At 38.6% G+C, this 21,792-nt stretch overlaps 1 protein-coding gene across 28 annotated transcripts in view; it reads left to right on the top strand.

Moving 5' to 3' along the window:
* The window catches only part of LMBR1 (limb development membrane protein 1), a 224,172-nt gene that overhangs the window by 78,280 nt on the left and 124,100 nt on the right, over positions 1 to 21,792 (top strand). For all 28 annotated transcript variants that reach the window (XR_007060137.1, XR_007060136.1, XR_007060135.1 and 25 more), the window contains one exon: positions 18,412 to 18,515. Coding sequence is in view for 14 of the 28 variants with exons in the window: in NM_001363412.2 (NP_001350341.1) it covers positions 18,412 to 18,515 (104 nt within the window). In the remaining 14 variants the exon portion in view is untranslated. The remainder of the gene's footprint in view (positions 1 to 18,411; positions 18,516 to 21,792) is intronic.

The raw sequence follows: 21,792 nt of genomic DNA, 5'->3' as shown, positions 1-21,792 counted from the left end.
ATTACAGGTGTGAACCACCGCGCTTGGCCTTGTACCATTTTTATGATGTTGAGACAGGGCAGGGAAGAGGCACTGACATTTGTTTAACATATTGGGTGTTAATTTATCTTCTGTTCTTCATAAGAGCCCTGTGAATTATAGCCTATTGCATACCTGAGGAAACTGGGTGACAGAGTTGCAGTCCCTCTTCAAGGTCACGTATTTGTGATAGGTGCAAATCCAGGCTGTTAGACGTAAAGTGCTACGCACTTAGCTATCTGCCATTGAGAACTGGTGAGGTTTTAAAAATCACAAATTGTGTGAATACCTTGATTTTGTTAGAGTACATTATAGTACACTAAATAGATCTAATATATTCAATATTTTACTGAAATTAGATTTTTAAAAACCTTTCTGTAGTTGAAAGATGTCCTGGTGTTTTAAGAAGCCTTGCTTGTACATGTACACACCTACATGTAAACAACTGAGAAAACAAATGCAGACATGTTTTGTTCCATTTTACAAAACTGATTGCAGGCTCAGTTAAGCATTTTGTTTTATGTTGATAGAATTAATGGAATATCATATTCATTATTTCCCTTAGTAAAATCTTACTAAACTAATATATTCTTTTTGGCAGATAATATTAAGAAAACTCAAAACATTGTTCCTTTTTCACCCAGAATGTTAAGTATGAGACATTATTCAGTCATATGTAGAAAGAAAAAGAGATCTGGGATTTAATCCCAGGGCTACCATTTGTAAGTTGTGGAATTTGTGAGGAATTTATTGAGTCTCTTTTAAGAAAAAGTTCAGTTTATGGGTGCGTTGGCTAAGGGGATCTTAGGTTCTCTTCTGCTCTGTATCTTATTCTTGGTGCACTAAAATAAGAGCAAGGTTTTATTTATTTTGAACAGATTTTAATTTTAGATTCTTACAATTGTATCTGTTCTGCTTAAGTATTGAAATAAATATGTATTTTAGTTCGTTAGAGGAAAGAGGTTATTTCAGTCTAAAACAATTCTTTGTCTGGAAAAGATAAAAAAAAACTAGGACTTTTTTTCTTCAAGAGATGGTGTTTTTTCTGAATGTGGATTCAAAGTAGCAGGTATTGAACAGTGTAAAGGAACTTAACCAAAGTGAGGCTTTGCAATTATTTCATTATTATTTTAAAATTTTCTAATACAACATCATTTGAGTAGACTTTATTTTCTGAGTGTATCAAAGAACATAATAGAAAGAATGTGGGAAAAGGAGAAAAAGAATAAGCTTGATGATATCTGTGAAGCATCTTGGAGGCCCACTGTAGAAATGTATACTGGAATAGTTAGGTTTTAGGAATTTGGGGCAAGAGAATGAAGAGAACGTATATTTCACAATAGGGAGCAGTATTCCATCTAGTAAGAGAAAACTAAGACATAGGAGTTGAGGCTTACTCTTTTAGTAATAAACAGACTTTGTTTTGTTGTTGAGTTGTATGTTGAGAGAATTAAACAAGGGGCAAGGATATCAATAAGTATTTGGGGAGGCCAACTTGAAATAGAGTAGGTAACTACAGTTTTAAAACATTTTTTCTATGATCAGCAAATCCATTAGGATAGATAGGTAGTGAAGAACAAGCACTCTTTGCTGATGTTTTATGCCCAGAGCTTTTTCTGTATTATTGAGGACTAAGGCTCAGACGTGGAGTATGAAAAATTAGGCCAGGTGTGGTGAGCCTGTAATCCCAACATTTTGGGAGGCCGAGGTGGGAGGATTGCTTGAAGCCAGATCAAGACCAGCCTGAGCAACAAAACGAGACCCTGTATCTACAAACAACAAAAAGCCAATATTCAAGTGTTGGTAGAGAAACACTTTAAAAGCTAAATAGTCTGGCTAAGGTGGAGTAAGGTGGACTGGATATATACCCTCCCACCTGAAATGACTAGGTTTTTGAGAAACTATAGGCAAAGAAGGACAATAATCCCCAGAGATGGGGGCAAACAAGGTGCTGCCTTGAGAGAATTTCCACACTGCAGTACAGAGAGGGGGAACCCAGGTGGAGCTGAGCAGTGTTCTGGGTTGAGAACCCAGGAGTTTTGAGAGACCAAGGGGGCTAGAGTGTACCAGGCAGAGTACTGGAAAGGAGATTGCTGCACAGAGAATCATTTTGTTTTACACTGATGGGTAGAATTAATGGGATATCATTTTCTCAGTTCGAACGTTTTCCGTAGTAAAACCTTACTAAACTGGTGTTCTGTTTTTGGCAAATGAAGGCCCTCTGTGTAGAGTCTTACAGGCTGAAATCAAGATGTTCACAGTGTTGCCTTCCTCATTGGAGGCCCCGGGGAAGAATTTGGTTTCAGACTGTTGGCTGAATTTGGTTCTTTGTAGTTTTAGGACTGAGGCCCTCATTTCCTTCCTACCTCTCAGCCAGGTGCTAGCCTTTGTTTCTAGAGGTTGCTTGCCTCTTTTCTCTTCCATGTGATACCCTCTAACAAAGGTGGGTCAAGTTTTTCTCTGACTTCCCTTCTGCTGCATCTTTCTGACTGCAGCTGGAGAAAGTCCTCTGCGCTCTTGTGTTTTCTCTCCCTCTCTCCCTCTTGCTGTCTCTCTCTCTCTCTCTCTGTGTGTTTAAAAATCACATGAAAGGCTCATGTAATTAGATTATGGCCACCTGGATAATCCAAAATGGTCTTGCTGTCTTCCTATTTGAAGGTCCATAACCTTAATTACACCTGCCAAGTCCTTTTTGCCATATGTACTGAGGTGAGTAGTATCGTGTTCCCCCAAAATTCAGGTTCACTCAGAACATCAGGATGTGAACTTATTTGGAAATAACAGTCTTTGTAGACATAATTAGTGAAGATGAAGTCATCTTAGATTAGCGAAGACCCAAATCCAAAGACTGGTATCCCCCTAAAAACATAAAGCAGAGACACAGACACACAGGGAAGAAAGCTGTGTGAAGACAGAGGCCAAGCATGGAATAAGGGCATCAGCAAGCCCAGGAATGCCAAAGATTGCAGGCAGCCACCCACAGATAGTAGGAAGGATTCTTCCCTGGAGACTTTGGAAGGAGCGTGGTCCTGCTGACACCTTGATTTCAGACTTCTAGTCCCTGGAACTGTAAGAGAGTAGATTTCTGTTGCTTGAAGCCATTCGGTTTGTGGTGCTTTGTTTCCTCAGTTCCAGAAAACCAGTACACCATGCAACATACTCACAGAAGGCTGGGGATTCAGGCATGGGGACCTTGTCCACTATGCCTACCTTGAGTCTGCAACTGAGATGTCAGAATTAGTAGACAAATACATGAAAACAATTCTTTTTTTTTTTTGAGACGGAGTCTGACTCTGTCGCCCAGGCTGGAGTGCAGTGGTGCAATCTTGGCTCACTGCAACCTCCGCCTCCCGGGTTTAGGTGATTCTTCTGCCTCAGCCTCCCGAGTAGCTGGACTACAGGCGTGTGCCACCATGCCCAGCTAATTTTTGTATTTTTAGTAGAGACGGGGTTTCACCATGTTGGCCAGGATGGTTTTGATCTCTTGACCTCGTGATCCACCTGCCTCGGCCTCCCAAAGTGCTGGGATTACAGGCGTGAGCCACCGCGCCTGGCCAGGAAAACAATTCTTATAACTATTCCATATGTTCCAGAAACTTAGAGGAAATGTTGAACATACTGAGATGTAAAAGATGTAAAAAAACAAAATTCTAGAGATGAAAACTATAGCATGTGATGTGAAAGTATATAAAACAGTAGATTAATAGCAGATTAGACATTGCAGAAGAGATTAATGAATTTGAGGACATAGCAATAGAAAACTATTCAAAAGTGGGGCTGGGCGCTGTGGCTCATGCCTGTAATCCTGGCACTTTGGGAGGCTGAGGTGGGTGGATCACCTGAGGTCGGGAGTTCAAGACCAGCCTGGCCAACTTGGTGAAACCTCGTCTCTACTAAAAATACAAAAATTAGCCAGGCATGGTGGTGCATGCCTGTAGACTCAGCTACTTGGGAGGCTGAGGGAGGAGAATCGCTTGAACCCGGGAGAGGTGGAGGTTGTAGTGAGCCAAGATTGCGCCACTGTACTCCAGCCTGGGTGACAGAGCAACACTCCATGTAAAAAAACAAAAAACAAAAAAATCAAAAAACTATGTGAAAGTGAAACACAGAGGGAAAAATGGCTGAAAAGTGACAATAGTGCTGTAGTTTGGATGTTTATTCCCCCATACCTCATGTTGAAATTTGACTCCCAGGGCCAGGCATGGTGGCTCACACCTGTAATCCCAGCACTTTGGGAAGCCTGGGTGGGTGGATCACTTGAGGTCAGGAGTTTGAGACCAGCCTGGCCAACATGATGAAACACCATTTTTACTAAAAATACAAAAATTAGCCAGGCGTGGTGGTGCATGCCTGTAATCCCAGCTACTCGGGAGGCTGAGGCAGGAGAATCACTTCAACCTGGGAGGCAGAGGCTGCAGTGAGCTGAAATTGTGCCACTGCACTCCAGCCTGGAGGACAGAGCGAGACACTATCTCAAAAAAAGAGAGAGAAATTTGATTCCTAGTGTTGGAGGTGGATCTAGTGGGAGGTGTTTGGGCCAGTGGGGCAGATCCCCCAAGAATAGATGAATTCCCTCCCGGGAGGTGGGTGAGTGAGTTCTTTATTCTCATAAGAGCTGGTTGTTAAAAAGAGCCTGGCACAACCCCCTCTCCATTGCTTCCTGTCTTCTCCTGTGATCTCTGCATATGCCAGCTCCCCTTCGCCTTTCGCCACGAATGGAAGCAGCTTGAGGCCCTCCTCACAGCAGCTGTTGGCACCAAGCTTCTTGTACAGCCTGTAGAACTGTGAGCCAAATAAATCTCTCTCTTTTTTTTTTAATAAATTACCCAGCCTCAGGTATTCCTTGATGGCAATGCAAAGTGGGCTAACACACAGGGTATCAGTGATGTAGTTGGTGTTTCTAAAGGAGGGGAGTTGAGAAAAATATTTGGAAACTTAATGGCAGAAACATTTCAAAATTGATGAGAACTATAAACCCACTGATTTTAGAAGCTTAACCAGTTCTATGTACAAGAAACATGAGGAAAACTGTACCAACGCATGTAATCTGATGGCTCAAAATCAGTGATAAAGAGAAAATCTTAAATGCATCTACAAAAAGAGACACGTTAAGTTCAGAGGAGCAATAATAAGAATCACAGCATGTTTCTGGTGGGAAACAATGCAAGCCAGATGACGTTGTGACAGTGTAGCAACAGTGTAGTCAGCCCTCTGGATCTGTGGATTCTAGATCTGTAGATTCAACCAACCACGGATCACAAATATTGGAAAAAAAGATGGTTGTGTTTATAGTGAGCATGTACAGAGTTTTTTCTTCTTATTCCCTAAACAATATAGTATAATTATTTACATAGATTTACACTGTATTAGGTATTGTAAGTAATCTATGGATGATTTAAAGTATATAGGAGGATATGCATAGGTTATATGCAAATACCATGCCATTTTACATAAGGGACTTGAGCATCTGTGGATTTTAGTATCTATGGGAGGTCTTGGAACCAATCCCCTACAGACACTGAGGGAGGATTGTACTAAAAGAAAAATCCCAGCCAGTCTAGTTTTATCCCCAGTGAAAATATTTTTCAAAACAAAGGCAAAATAGTGATAGTGTCAGATACACAAAAGATAAAAATTCATCATCAGCAGAGCTGTACATTAAAAAATGTTACAGGTTGTCCTTCATGTGGTAGGAGGTGGGTAGGAGATAGATATCTAGGAACCGTGAGCTAAACAAACCCGAGGGAATATATCTTAACTCATTTCCTAACTCTACAAAATGAAATGAAGAGCACTAGAAGCAGCAGTTTATATGTAGAGAAGCTTTTTAAAAATCCTGTGTTTAGAAAAGATAATTGGCTGTTTAAAAAGTAGTAACAATGTATTATGAATTTTATTATAGATGTACAAGTAAGTTATATGACAACGATAACACACAGGAGGAAAGCCACGGAAGCACACTGTTGTGAAGTTCTCATGCTCTACGTGAAGTGTTATCTTTTTTTTTCTAAGTGACAGCAAGTTTATTAAGAAAGTAAAGGAATAAAAGGAATGGCTATTTCATTGGCAGAGCAGCCAATAAAATCATCTGAAGGCAGATTGTGATGAGTTAAAGGCGTATATGATAAACCTGAAGACAAACCAGAAATAGCCCAACAGAGATATAGTGAATAAGTAAACAAAGGAAATAAACTAGAATCATAAAAAATACTTAATCTGTGGGAACATAGAAGAAGGGAAGCTAACACATGGGGCAAATAGAAAACAAAAAGCAAGTTGATAGATTTAAAGCTAACTATATCAATAATCACTTTAAATGTAATGTTCTAAACACTACAACTAAAAGGCAGAGATTATCAAATTGAATATAAAAGCAAGACTGAAGTATATCTGCTTGCAGGATACCCACTGTAAAGACAAAACTAGGTCAATGGCAGTAGGAGAAAAAAGATACACCATGCTAATTTTAAACAGAGCAAAGTTGGAGTGGCTATATGATTATCAGACAAGGGCAAAGAATATTACCAGTCATAAAGAAGATCATTTCATCATGTTGAAGTGGTTTGTTCACCCAAAGAGCCTAATGATACTTAGCATATATCTGCCTAATGACATATATTAAGTACATGAAGCAAAAACGGAAAGTGTAGTCAGAATCACAATTACATTCAGATATTTCAACACCCTTCTTTCAATAATTGATAGAACATATAGAAGAAAAAATCACGATATAGAAGATTTGAATAATACTATCAACTGACTTGACCTAATTAACATTTATAGAACATCCAAGAATAGAATACATATTCTTTTCCAGTACAATGTGGGCATTTACCAAGAGAGATCACATTCTTTGCCATAAAATAAGTCTCAATACATTTTAGGATTTTAAGTCATACAAGATACACTCTGTAAGGACAATGAAATTAAATAAGTGTCAGAAAACTTACCTAGAAACAATCTAGAAGATCCCTGAGTATTTGGTAATTGATAACATACTTTACAATAACTCACTGGTCAAAGAATAATCAAAAGGGAAATTTGAAAGTGCTTTGAACTGAATGAAATGAAAATAAAACATTTTAATATTTGCGGGATGTGTCTAAAAAGTTTTTAAAGGTCAATGTATAGCACGAAATACCTGTATTACAACAGAAAAAAGGCCTCAAATCAGTTTCTGCAGAGTCAACGAATAGATCCCAAAGAAGGGAAATCTTTCTTTAAAAATCTTGAGAGAGGAAATCAATGAAATAGAAAACAGGAAATCACCAAGAAGAACACTGAAATTGATAAACAATGCCAGAATGATCAGCAAAAAAGAAGAGACCAATTGCCAGTATTAGGAATGAGAGAGGTGACATCACTACATATTGAACAGTGATTAAAAGGATAATAATTGCATATTATGAACACCTTTATCCAACAAATTCAACAACTTAGAGAAATGGACAAATTTCCTTAACAGGCAAAAACTATTAAAGCCTTCTCAAATATTCTGGGAATGTTAGAAACATTCTCACAAATAAAGCTTTAGGCCAGGAGGATTTACTGTCAGTTCTATCATATAGTTAAGGAAGAAATAATAGCAGTTCTGCACAGATTCTTCTAGAAAATTGAAGATGTGGGAACATTTCCTAATTCACTGAGGTCAGCATTACCCTCATACCAAAACCAGGCAGACAATACATGAAAACTGAAAGTTTCATGACAGGCCAGTGTCACGAACATAGATGCTTAAGTTCTAAATACAATTTTAGCGAATCAAATGTAACACTGTATAAAAATGATAATACATCATGACTTTTGCAATGCCAATCCATGTGATTTTATTAACGTGCTAGAAAAAAAAAAGTCATATGGTCGTAACAATACATGCAGAAAAAGCATATGACAAAATTCAGTATCCATTTCTGGTAAAATCTCTCAGCAAAGTAGGCCTGAAATGGGATGTTCTCATCCTAATAAAATGCATCAGGCTGGGCGTAGTGGCTCACGCCTGTAATCCCAGCACTTTGGGAGGCTGAGGCGGGTGGATCACCTGAGGTCAGGAGTTCGAGACCAGTCTGACCAATGTGGTGAAACCCTGTCCCTACTAAAAATATAAAACTTAACTGGGCATGGTGGTGTGCACCTGTAGTCCCAGCTATTCGGGAGGCTGAGACAGGAGAATTGCTTGAACCTGGGAGGTGGAGGTTGCAGTGAGCTGAGAAATCGCACCACTGCACTCCAGCCTGGGCGACAGAGTGAGACTCCGTCTCAAAAAAAAAAAAAAAAAAAAAAAAAAAAAGCATCTACAAAAAACCTACTGATAACATCATACTTAATGGTGAAAGACTGGATGCTTTCCCCCTGAGATCAGGAACAAGGCAAGGACATCTGTTCTTACCACTTCTATGTAACATCATTCTGGAGGTTTTTTTTAAAAAAAATAAGTCACTGAAGTTGGAAAGGAAACAGTAAAACTATTTCACAGATGATATTTTCTATGCGGAAATTCTGATGGGATCTGTTATAAAAAAGCTATTGGAACCAGTAAGTAAATTCTTCAAGGCTGCAGGATAGAAGATCAATATACAACAATTATATTTCTATATACTGGCAGTTAATAATTGGAAATTGAATTTACAACCCAATATCACTTATATGCAATAGCATCAAAAATACGAAATACTTAGGGATGCGTGAGACCTAAGTACTATAAACTAAGACATTGTTGAGAGAAATTAAAGAGTACCACAATAAGTGGAGACAGATACTGTGTTCATGGATTCGAAGACACTTTATCAGTTTGGGCTGCTATAACAATACCATAGACTGGGTGGCTTACAATACAAAACAAATATTTTTTACAGTTCTGGAGGCTGAAAGTCCCATATCAGGGTGCCACCATGGTTGGGTTCTTGATGAGGACCCTATTCTTGGCTCACGGATGGTTGTCTCCTCGCATCCTTCCATGGCTGAGAGCAGAGACAGAGAAAGCAAACTCTCTTCTGTCTCCTCCTATAGGGGCACCATCCCATCATGAGGATTGCCCTCTTGTGACCTAACTACCCCCAAGGGCTCCTGTCTCTAACGACCATCACACTGAGGATTAGGGTTTCAGTTATGAATTTGGGGGTGGGGACAGAAGCATTCAGTCTGTAACAGCAATATTAAGAGGTCAGCTCTCTTCAAATTGATAGAGATTCAACACCATGCCTGTCAAGATTCCAGCATACTTTGTAGAAATTGACAAGCTGATCTAAAATTCGGATGCAAATTCTATGGACTTAGAATAGCCTAAACAACTTTGAAAGATAACAAAGTTAGAGGATTGACCATCTGACCTAAAGACTCTTTTAAAGCTACAGTAATCAAGACTGTGTGGTGTGGCTGGGCACGGTGGCTTATGCCTGTAATCCCAGCGCTTTGGGAGGCCAAGGCAGGCAGATCACTTGAGGTCAGGAGTTCGAGACAAGCCTGACCAACATGGTGAAACCCTGTGTCTACTAAAAATACAAAAATTAGCCTGGTGTGGTGCATGCACCTGTAATCCCAGCTACTTGGGAGTCTGAGGCAGGAGAATCGCTTGAACCTGGGAGGCGGAGGTTGCAGTGAGCCGAGACGTGCCACTGCACTCCAGCCTGGATGACAGAGCAAGACTTTGTCTCAAAAAAAAAAAAAAAAAAAAGTGCATGATGTTAGCATAAAGATAAACAGATCAAATCAGCAGAATAGACTGTCCAGGATTAGATACATACATATATTGTCAATTGATTTTTGACAAAGGTGCCAAGGGAATTTAGTGGGAAGATGATTTTTTTTTAAACAAATGGTGCTAGAACAATTTTTTAATTATAGGCAAAAAATGAACTTCAGTCCATACCTGGCACCATTCGCAAACTGTAACTCAAGGGATCATCGACTTAAATGTAAATCCTAAAACTATGAAACTTGTAGAAGAAAATGTAGGAGAAAGTCTTTGTAACATTGAACTAGGCCATAATTTTTTAGGTAGGATAGCGAAAGCACAATCCATAAAAGAAAAAAATGGATAAATTGGACTTCTAATAAATTTTGTTCTTTAAAGATACTGTTAAGAGAATAAAGAGAGTCTACAGACTGGGAGAAAATATTGACAAATCACATACCTTATAAAGGAGTTGTATTCAGAGCCCATAAAGAACTTGTCAAACTCAGTAATTAAAAAAAAATGAAAAAATGGGCAACAGATTTGAAGAGATACTTAGCTAAAAAAGACATGAATAGATGGCAAATAAGCTCATGAACAGATGTTCACATCATTATTTATTAGATAAATGGGAATTAAAACAGCAATAAGATATTCCTGTGTACCTGCCAGAATGGTTAAAATATTATTTTTAGTGAAAATGTGGATGAACTTGATCTCTGCTGGTGAGAGACTGTAAAATACAACCACTTTGGAAAACATTTTGGCAGTTTCTTAAAATGTTAAACAGGTATCTACCATATGACCTATGTATTTCCCAAAAGAAATGATCGCATAGGTCTACACAGACTTGTACATGAGCATTTATGACTATTTTATTTTTAATAGCCACAAATTGGGAACAACATAGATTGTTTGCAGGTGAATGGATGCAGTCCAATAGCGATTCAATCTAATCTCAAAATAGTTGTGCTAGATAACAGAAGCCAGACAAAAACAAGAGTATATATCACACAATCCATTTGTATAATGTTCTAGAAAATCCATCTTTTTTTTATTTTATTTTATTATTATTCTACTTTAAGTTTTAGGTTACATGTGCACAACGTGCAGGCTTGTTACATATGTATACATGTGCCATGTTGGTGTGCTGCACCCATCATCTCCTCATTTAGCATTAGGTATATCTCCTAATGCTATCCCTCCCCCCTCCCCCCACCCCACAACAGTCCCCGGTGTGTGATATTCCCCTTCCTGTGTCCATGTGTTCTCATTGTTCAATTCCCACCTATGAGTGAGAACATGCGGTGTTTGGTTTTTTGTCCTTGCGATAGTTTGCTGAGAATGATGGGTTCCAGTTTCATCCATGTCCCTACAAAGGACATGAACTCATCCTTTTTTATGGCTGCATAGTATTCCATGGTGTATATGTGCCACATTTTCTTAATCCAGTCTATCATTGTTGGATATTTGGGTTGGTTCCAAGTCTTTTCTATTGTGAATAGTGCCACAATAAACATACGTGTGCATGTGTCTTTATAGCAGCATGATTTATAATCCTTTGGGTATATACCTAGTAATGGGATGGCTGGGTCAAATGGCATTTCTAGTTCTAGATCCTTGAGGAATCGCCACACTGACTTCCACAAGGGTTGACAGTCCCACCAACAGTGCAAAAGTGTTCCTATTTCTCCACATCCTCTCCAGCACCTGTTGTTTCCTGACTTTTTAATGATCGCCATTCTAACTGGTGTGAGATGGTGTCTCATTGTGGTTTTGATTTGCATTTCTCTGATGGCCAGTGATGATGAGCATTTTTTCATGTGTTTTTTGGCTGCATAAATGTCTTCTTTTGAGAAGTGTCTGTTCATATCCTTCGCCCACTTTTTGATGGGGTTGTTTGTTTTTTTCCTGTAAATTTGTTTGAGTTCATTGTAGATTCTGGATATTAGCCCTTTGTCAGATGAGTAAGTTGCAAAAATTTTCTCCCATTTTGTAAGTTGCCTGTTCACTCTGATGGTGGTTTCTTTTGCTGTGCAGAAGCTCTTGAGTTTAATTAGATCCCATTTGTCAATTTTGGCTTTTGTTGCCATTGCTTTTGGTGTTTTAGACATGAAGTCCTTGCCCATGCCTATGTCCTGAATGGTAATGCCTAGGGTTTCTTCTAGGGTTTTTATGGTTTTAGGTCTAACATGTAAGTCTTTAATCCATCTTGAATTAATTTTTGTATAAAGTGTAAGGAAGGGATCCAGTTTCAGCTTTCTACATATGACTAGCCAGTTCTCCCAGCACCATTTATTAAATAGGGAATCCTTTCCCCATTTCTTGTTTTTGTCAGGTTTGTCAAAGATCAGATAGTTGTAGACATGCGGCATTATTTCTGAGTTCTTTTCTAAAGTGCAGAGTCAGTGGCTGACTGGGAATCAGGGGGAGGTGGGGAGTGGCAGGGGGCAGGGATTATAAAAGGATATGAGAAAATTTGGGGGTGATGGATGTGTTTATGTTCATTAGCTTAATTGTGGTGATGGTGTCATTGGTGCATTCTCATGACAAAACTTATCAAATTATATACTCCATGTGTAGCTTATTTTATGTAGTTCAATAAAGCTGTTAAAAATTAATATTTCTTATATTTGTATATGTTATAATTTTGTTCATTTTGTACTGACAATTGAGAATTAATTCTGAGACTACTTCTTTAGTTCAGCCTGTGACCTTTTTCCTGAGAGAGTCTTTTCCTGTTAACATTTAGCTATATGGATTGTAATATTGTTTGTTTATGGAACTCATTTTTATTGATTACTCAGCACTGTAGCAGGCATTGGGAAATAAAAAATGAGGTGTAGAAATATATTCATGCCTCATGGACCTTTGATCTAGAGATTTGTAATCATACATTTGCAAGCATCTCTAAAGAATATAAGAAGTTTAGGGGCCAGGCGTGGTGGCCCATGCCTGTAATCCCAGCACTTTGGAAGGCCGAAGCGAGTGGATCACCTGAGGTCAGGGGTTCAAGAGCAGCCCAGCCAACATGGTGAAACTCCGTCTCCACTGAAAATACAAAAATTAGCCTGGCGCAGTGGCGCGTGCCTGTTATCCCAGCTACTCAGGAGGCTGAGGCAGGAGAATCGCTTGAACCCGGGAGGCGGAGATTGCGGTGAGCCGAGATTGCGCCATTGCACTCCAGCCTGGGCAACAGAGTGAGACTCCATCTGAAAAAAAAAAGGTTAGGAAATGGTGGAATTTATGTTGCCTAAAAACATTACAGCATATTAGAAGGAATAGCTTAAGTTTTTCTTGCTCTGGGACAAGGGCACGTTTCTGAACCTGAAGTCCGTCTGTAAAACGGGGGACCTTCCCTCATAAAATATTAAGGTGGTAGCTGGCTGAGTGCAGTGGCTCACATCTGTAATCCCAGCACTTTGGGAGGCTGAGGTGAGTGGATCGCTTGAGCCCAGGAGTTTGAGACCAGACTGGACAACATGGTGAAACCTCATCTCTACAAAAAATACAAAAATCAGCCTGGCACGGTGGCATGTGCCTATAGTCTCAGCTACTTGGTAGGCTGAGGCGGGAGGATCACCTGAGTCTGGGAAGTCAAGGCTGCAGTGAGCCATGATCACACCACTGTCTCAGAAAAAAAGATAGCATCTTAACGTATCCAGAACAATGCCTACTATGTTACATACCTAACAGTGACAGGCATACCTTGGAGATACTGCAGGGTTGGTTCCAGTGTACTGTGATGAAGCGAATGTGGCAATAAAGTGAATCACACAAATTTTTTGATTTCTCAGAGCATATAAAAATTATACTTAACACTATAATGCCATTTATTAAGTGTGCAATAGCAATGTGTGTACATGCCTTTATTGCTAAAAAATGGTAACAATTATCTGAGCCTTTAGTGAGCTGTAATCTTTTTGCTGGTGGAGGTCTTGCCTTGATTTTGCTAAAGGTTGCGTGACCGTGGCAATTTCTTAAAATAAGACAACAGTGTAGTTTGCCATATTGATTGACTCTTCCTTTCACAAAAGATTTCTGTGTAGCATGTGATGCTGTTTGACAGCATTTTACTCACAGTAGAAGTTCTTTCAAAATTGAAGTCCATCCTCTCAAACCCTGCCTCTGTTTTATCAACTAAGTTTATGATATTCTAAGTCCTTTATTGTCATTTCCACAATGTTCACAGCATCTTCACCAGGGTAGATTCCATCTCAAGAAACCACTTTCTTTGTTCATCCCTAAGAAGCAGCTCCTCGTTCATTTCAAGTTTTATCATGAGATTGCAGCAATTCAGTCACATCTTCAGGATCCACCTCTAATTCCAGTCCTCTTGCTATTTTTACCACATCTGCAGAGACTTTCTCCACTGACATCTCAAACCCATCACTTCCAAACTCCAGGTGAGGTTGATATTTTGACCTCCCATGAATCACAGATATTCTTAATGGCATCTAGAATGGTGCATCCTTTCCAGAAGGTTTTCAGTTTACTTTGCACAATCCATCAGAGGAATCTGTAGCAGGTATAGCCTTACAGAATGTATCTTAAATAATATGACTTGAAAGTCAGAATTACTCCTTGATCCATGGGCTACAGAATGGATGTTGTGTTAAGGCATGAAAATATTGATCTTTTTAAACATCTCCACCAGGGCTCTTTCATCTCCATCAGCAGGTGCATTGTCAATGAGCAGTAGTATTTTGAAAATCTTTTTTTTTTTTTTTTTTGAGTAGCAAGTCTTAACAGTAGGCTTAAACTATTTAGTAAACCATGCTGTAAACAGATGTGCTGCCATCCGGGCAGGTTTGTTGTTCTTGTTTATAGACCACAGGCAGAATGGGCTTAGGATAATTCTTAAGGGTTTTAGGATTTCTGGAATGGTGAATGAGCACTGGCTTCAACTTAAAGTCACTTTCTGTATTTGCCCCTAACAAGTGAGTCAGCCTGTTGATTGAAGCTTTGAAGCCAGACATTGAACTTGTCTCTGGCTATGCAAGTCCTAGATGGCGTCTTCTTCCAGTGTAAGGCTGTTTTTGTCTACCTTGAAAATCTGTTGTTTTGTGCAGCCACTTTCATTGATGGTCTTAGCCAGATCTTCTGGAGAACTTGCTACAGCTTCTCCATCAGCACTTGCTGCTTCACCTTGCACTTTTATGTTATGGAGGTGGCTTCTTTCCTTAAACCTCATGAACCAACCTCTGGTAGCTTCAGACTTTTCTTTTGGAGCTTCCTCACCTCCCTCAGCCTTCATAGATGTGAAGAGTTACAACCTTGCTCAGGCTGTGGCTTTAGGGAATGTTGTGGCTGGTGTGATCTGTCCAGAGCACAAAACCTTTCTCCATATCAGCAGTAAGGCTGTTTTGCTTTCTTGTCATTTGTGTGTTCACTGGAGTAGCACTTTAATTTCCTTTAGGAACTTTTCCTTTGCATTCACAACTTGGCTAACTGGCATAAGAGGCCTAGCTTTCAGCCTATCTCATTTTTTGACATGCCTTCCTCACTAAGCTTCTAGCTTTTGATTGAAAGTGAGAGATGTGTGAGTCTTCCTTTCATTTGAACACTTAGAGGACATTGTAGGATTATTACATGGCCTACTTTCAATATCGTTGTGTCTCAGGGAATGGGGAGGCCCTAGGAGAAGGAGAGAGATGAAGGAACAGCCAAGCAGAGGTGCAGTCAACACACACAATATTTATTGATTAAGTTTGGCATCTTTTATGGGCACAATTTGCAGCGCCCCCAAACAATTAACATAGTAACATCAAAGATCACTGGTCATAGATCATAACAGATGTAATAATAGTGAAAATGTTTGAAGTATTGCAAAAATTACCAAAATATGACATGGAGAAATGAAGTGAGCACGTGGTATTGGGAAAATGGCACAGATAGACTTGTTCACCACAGAGTTGTCACAAACCGTCACACGGTATCTGCAAAGCACAGTACAGCAACATGCAATCGGCTTTAGGTATACTTGTAGTAGATAACTTCTTTTTTTTTTTTTTGAGATGGAGTCTCGCTCTGTTGCCCAGGCTGTAGTGCAGTGGTGCAATCTCGGCTCACTGCAACCTCTGCCTGCTGGGTTCAAGCAATTCTCCTGCCTCAGCCTCCTGAGTAGCTGGGACTACAGGTGCGCACCACCATGCCCAGCTAATTTTTTTTTTTTTTTGTATTTTTATTAGAGACAGGGTTTCACCATGCTGGCCAGGCTGGTCTCGAACTCCTGACCTCGTAATCTGCCTGCCTCGGCCTCCCAAAGTGCTGGGATTACAGGTATGAGCCACCATGCCCGGCCAGTAGATAACTTTTAAAAATGTTTTTTTAAAAAGACTATGAGATATTTAATTGGAATAAAACTATCTTGTGTAAAATGAATATAATTCGTGACACACTGACCTTTATCTTTCATAACACAAATGATTTGAAACGGTCATGTATTTTTCACCACGCCTAAATAAAGCAATAGATTAACAACCATGGTTCTCTAGCCTACTAAAGAATAATAATAATGTAATTTACATAATACTAATTATTGTTATACCCCACATATCTGAAAGTAACTTACTTGGAAACCATAAAGAAGAGAAAATGCTGTTGAGCAGGCAAAAGAGAGGCCAAAGACCATGCACTTTAGGTTATGAATTGGACCTGGAAGGTACAGCTTTGATCCAGGTCAATTTATTCTTTAGATACAACTTTTAAAAGTTGCGTATATGATACCTTTACCCATAGGCTGTTGGGGGAGGGAAGAGATTGTTCCTGGACACATGCTCATTTCTAGTAACAAAAACCAGGAGCCAATACACTTGGTAGAAAGAAGATGAAAGGGAAAACTAGCAAGCGAGCCTGGAGTCTCAGGAAGGATGGTAGTTTGGTGTGGGAGCTGATAGCACTGTTACTAGTAGCCTCTGGTGCTGTAACTTAAAAGCAAAAATTAATTAAATGCTTATTTTATGACAGGCATTGTGTCAGTTGTTGTACGTGCATTATTTAATGCTTACCAATGTCTACAGACCCGTCATTAGCCATATTTGATAGATGAAGAACCTGTGATTTAGCAATGTTGTCACATAGAAGTGCAGCAGGACGTGCACCCAGGTCTGCCTAGAACTCAATTGTGTGCATGCAGCCATCGTTCTGTATGCTCTTCCAGTAATTAGCACAATAAAACAATTGACTCTAATTATACTCTTTTTGAATAAAGAAAACAGAATGTTTGGCTTTTTTTAAAGGCTGGAAAATATAAAATTATTTACATTTTTTAAAATTTAAAATTTTTAAAAATTTTAAATAGTTCAAATTGCAGTTTTTCCACTAAAAGATGTTAAGATATTGTTTTATAAAAGATTTTACTTTCTACAAAGATAAATGTACATTGTAAATTTGTTAAATCCATGTAGATTTTTGAATAAGAAACTGTGAGTTGATTTTATTATATTACCTTGTCTACTAAAGGAAGTGAATCTCCCCAGCTGACCCGTATTAATTGCTAAATTAATTGTGTTTGTTTATACTCCATGCTATTCCAAAGGACATTAGGACAGTTACAAACCTTTATGTTTATTCAAAACTGCAGTAGTTAGGGACGGCTCTGCTCCCTGTGCCCACTGCCAGCTCAGAGGTAGTCTCTGCATGCAGCTCTGCAGCGTGAGCAGCTCTGAGAGCAGAGGGGTTGTGTTTCTTCATCACCACATCTCCACTGCTTGGAAATGAAGGTGTTGAGAAAGCATTAGTTGCCTACTTTCAAAAACATTGAATTATAATGGCAAACAGTTCATTGAATTTATCCTTGACGTAAATTTTATCTTTGACTCTTGATTTTATAAACTTTTGTAATGATTATCACCATCATTTTGAAACTCAGTTTTAAATTTTATTTTTTTACCTGTAAAAAATATGATCTGACATGTTGGGCCAAATACCCTCCCAATGACATACCTAACAGGGCTCTGTCTTTTGCTAAATCTGTTCTTATTTTACTTGCCATTTTGTGCCAGGGAGGAAAAGGTCACTTAAGATTGCCAGTCTCTGTGACTTTTTCTTTCCCACTTGGAATTGTTTACCAAAATTTCTGTGATGTAGTGATTTTTTAAAATCCTGGAATTAAGTCAGCTCTGCCACTTGGATGCTCTACAGCTGTGGCAAGTTGCATAGCCTGCTCCTCTTCTGTCATCTTGGGGCAGTAATGCTACCTGCCTCATGGGATTGCTGTGGCAAGTAAATGAGTTCGGATAATGTCTGTAAATCACTTAGAATAGTGCTTGGCACATAAGGGCTCAATAAATGCTAATTATTATTTTTAGGGTTTTTATGAGGCTTAAATTAAATGGGATTATGCATGTAAAATGTTCAGTAGAGTATCTGGCATTTATTAGGGGCTCAATAAATGCTAGTGGCTCTAATTTAAATATTCCGGTGCCTATATGTCTAAAGAGGCTGTGCCTTTGGATCTCTGCACACGTCATATTTTTAGTGAATTTACTTTAGGGCATGGAAAAAAACATTAGTTTCTATACTGACTTTTCCCAATAGGTACAAGTTACAATGTTAAAAAAATTTAAATAAATACATACTATAATTATTTTATGATTTCTAAGTTTAGGTCATTTGTTACTTTTTGTTTATTTTTACTATTTAAAAGTATAGATCTTGATTAATACCACAATTTCAATATCTAACCTGTTTTTCTTCTTTTCTTGTTACCCTTTTTATAGGTTTGTGGAATCTTGCTTCCCTTTTTTCCAACCTTTGTTTATTTGTATTGATGCCCTTTGCCTTTTTCTTTCTGGAATCAGAAGGCTTTGCTGGCCTGAAAAAGGTAAGTGAATCTAGTATTGGAATTAAATTGGTTAAGTGAGGAATTAAATATCATTCACATTGAACTAGAAAAAGCAGACTTAAATTATTTAAATGGAATATAAAAAATGCGTAGTAAATAATATTGATAACACATTGTTAACAATAACAGTAATTCTGCATATTGAATTACTTTGCATGTCCATGAGAGAGAGACATCTTTTAGACCTGTGAGTACTTTTACAGTATGCATACATCTAGTGTAATGGATAAACCTGATATAATAGCTTTTATTCTTTCCTTAGGGTATCTTATTTAGTTTAAGGTGACAGTAAAGTGTTATTTCCATGGGCTCCCCTTTCTGTTATCTAGCTGTTATTCCATACGTTAACAGTCTGCAGCTGAAAACTGACAGCTGATTTCACATTTAGTAAATATACCAGGATCAGAATGAATGACTCTGGCAGTCAAACCTGACATTAAGAAAACTGGCTTTTATGCATTGGAATTTAAAAAATCATGATGTATTCTTAAGACAGGCAATTAAAATTTAGTCAATGGCCGGGTGCAGTGGCTCACACCTGTAATCCACCACTTTGGGAGGCTGCGGCAGGAGGGTTGCTTGAGGCCAGTTTTTCGAGACCAGTTTGGGCAACACAGTGAGACCCTGTCTGTACTAAAAATAAAAAAATTAACTGGGTGTGGCGATGGGTACCTGTGGTCCCAGCCCCTCTGGAGACTAAGGTGGGAGGATTGCTTGAGCCTGCAGGTTGAAGCTGTGGTGTGAGCTGTGATTGCGTCACTGCACTCCAGCCTGTCTCAGAAACAAACAAAAACCAAGAATAAACAACAAGAAGAAAGGAGGTCATTGTAGACTCTTGAGAAGGCAATTTCTGTAGAATTTTGGAAACATAACTTTTGATGGATATTCATTCATTCAACAGAGAATGAATTTTATTGAGAATTCAGTTTTATTAACCAATTCCTTAAGTAGCAGTTATTATGCTCTTTATAGGAGCTTGCTGGGGACACAGATGAAAAGATGGGCCTCTGGCCTTCAAGGGTCGGACAGTGGGAGAAATGACAGATGTAAACAAATAAGATGCAGTTTGAAGCCCTTTTATATAATGAAGTCCTATGGGAAACCCTGAAAGGAAAGGATATCTTGATTTTCCTGGGGAATCTGAGCAGGCTTCACAGGGGAAGTCAATCTGGACTTGGGCTGGGACTTGAAGGATGAGCAGGGGTTTGCTAGAGTGTGGCATTCCAGGCTTGAGCAAAGGCCTAGAGCTCTGACAGTATTGAGGGAATGGCCGGTACTTAGATACTGGAGAATGGTGAGAGATGAGGGTGCACAAGCCGCTTGCCAGGGTCGAATTCTGGAGGCCTGGAGTCCTCCATCTGGTCATTTGAGTTTTATGTTGTAGGCAACAGAGAAGCCAGAATAGGATTTTTGAAAATAATTTTTTTTCATCTACCACTTGAGTATATTTAGAGATAAATATGCATTTTAGACTTTGTGCAGGTCACAAAGGAAAGGAGTACAAAGGAGTACATGCCCCACACAGTGCAGAACACTGATCTGTAGACACGGCACCGAATCAGTCCTGCACCTGACTCTGTGACATTGCCTGCCGACGTTTGCTTTCAATAAGCAAAGTTCTTCCCTCTTCCTGACACTACCTCTTGTGTAATAGTACCACATACAAAAAACAAATGATAAAGCTTGGTGTGAACTATATTTTCATATTTGACATTATAAACAGTATCTACCTAATTTATACTTTTTATAACAATCTAGTTGAATAGATTGTTATTTACAATAACAGGGTGTAATATGGACAAACTCTTTGCCTCCAAGTTATTTTCTTCCCTTCTTGTGAATTAACCAACTAGGAAAGGGACTTGGCTAAATCTGTTTGAAGAATTAGCAACAATCTCCAGAATTAAAAAAGAAAAAAATGACAAAAAATCCCAGTGACATGTCATTTTTCTCCTGTTCCCCCTTACAGACTTAAGGTCAAAGGGAGAATCAGCTGAGGAGGGATCATAGAAGTTAATTAGAGATATTTCACACATACGATTGTACAGCACTTACTTCCTCTATTTTAAAAAAATTTTTAGTCTTTTTATACATGATTAATATTCTTTTCTTAGCACATCTTTGACCATGTTAGTTGCCTAAAAATCACTCGAGGGTCACCAGCTGTGTTTCTTGACCTCAAATGGGACTGAAATATTGAATGACTGTAGGATACAGGCAACTATGAATCCAATTAATTCCCAAACACAGCAGAAGGTGGAGCCCCGGACGACTGCCATTTGTCCAACTTGGGAAGTTGTAATAGGTGCTGCAGAAAACCAAATTAAAGAATTTGGTTGTTAATGCCGTTAAAGGAAGGAGGGAGATGGGATTCTAGCTTGAAGGTAGGGAAAGAGGCCAGCGGAAGATGGTGAAGCTGCAACCGTGAGAAAATTTGGCATCAGTCAGACTGCCTGGGAGGTGACTTCATCTAAACCGCGGGGTTGCTTTCTATAAAATGGGTGTAATAATGATCTTTACTTTATTGTATCATTTTGGTGATTAAATGAGATGTGATTATTCATGTAATGCACATAGCCCAGGACTTCATTTAGTAAATTAGCTATTATTAAATTACCTTTATCTTCGAGGTAGTCTTTAAATGCATTTGACTAATAAGTATTCTATAAAATATCACTAATCACTAATAAGTTTTCTAGAATACTTATTATCACTAAATATTCTATAAAATATGAGCCTCAGAAAGCAAGCAACTGAATACAGTACAGTCATCTTTTAATTCCTCACAGATTATTATCTCAGGCGGTTTTAAAATATGTTTCCCATTTTGCAATGGCATGTACTGAAGTAGAATAACTCAGCTTGAGCATTACAGCTAGCATACTTTGAAACAAACTTGTTTGAAGATAAGGTGTGTTCTAGATCCTAGTAGAAATGTTTAGAAAGTTTTAAAATTAAGCTAATCAAGACATGTTATTTTAAAATATTCATATTTTTCGGTTTTAAAATCAGTCACATGAAAGTTGGAAAGGTTACTAATATTGTGTCGTTAAGTCTAAATGTGTTAAGCATACATTTGAGCCCTTTCATGTTGTATATTTCTGTAGTCTAGAATCATTTGTTAACTACCTGTGTAAGTTCTAAATAACATTTTTAAAGATACATGGTTCTTTACACAGTGCTTATTAGAATTAACTTCGTTGCTTTATTGAAATTAATGTTATGATTGATCACAGTCATTAGAATGTTTAACATA

The sequence above is a fragment of the Homo sapiens genome, chromosome 7 (genome assembly GCF_000001405.40).
Source record: "Homo sapiens chromosome 7, GRCh38.p14 Primary Assembly".
Lineage (NCBI taxonomy): Eukaryota > Metazoa > Chordata > Mammalia > Primates > Hominidae > Homo > Homo sapiens.
This window is presented reverse-complemented; position numbering and strand designations above follow the sequence as displayed.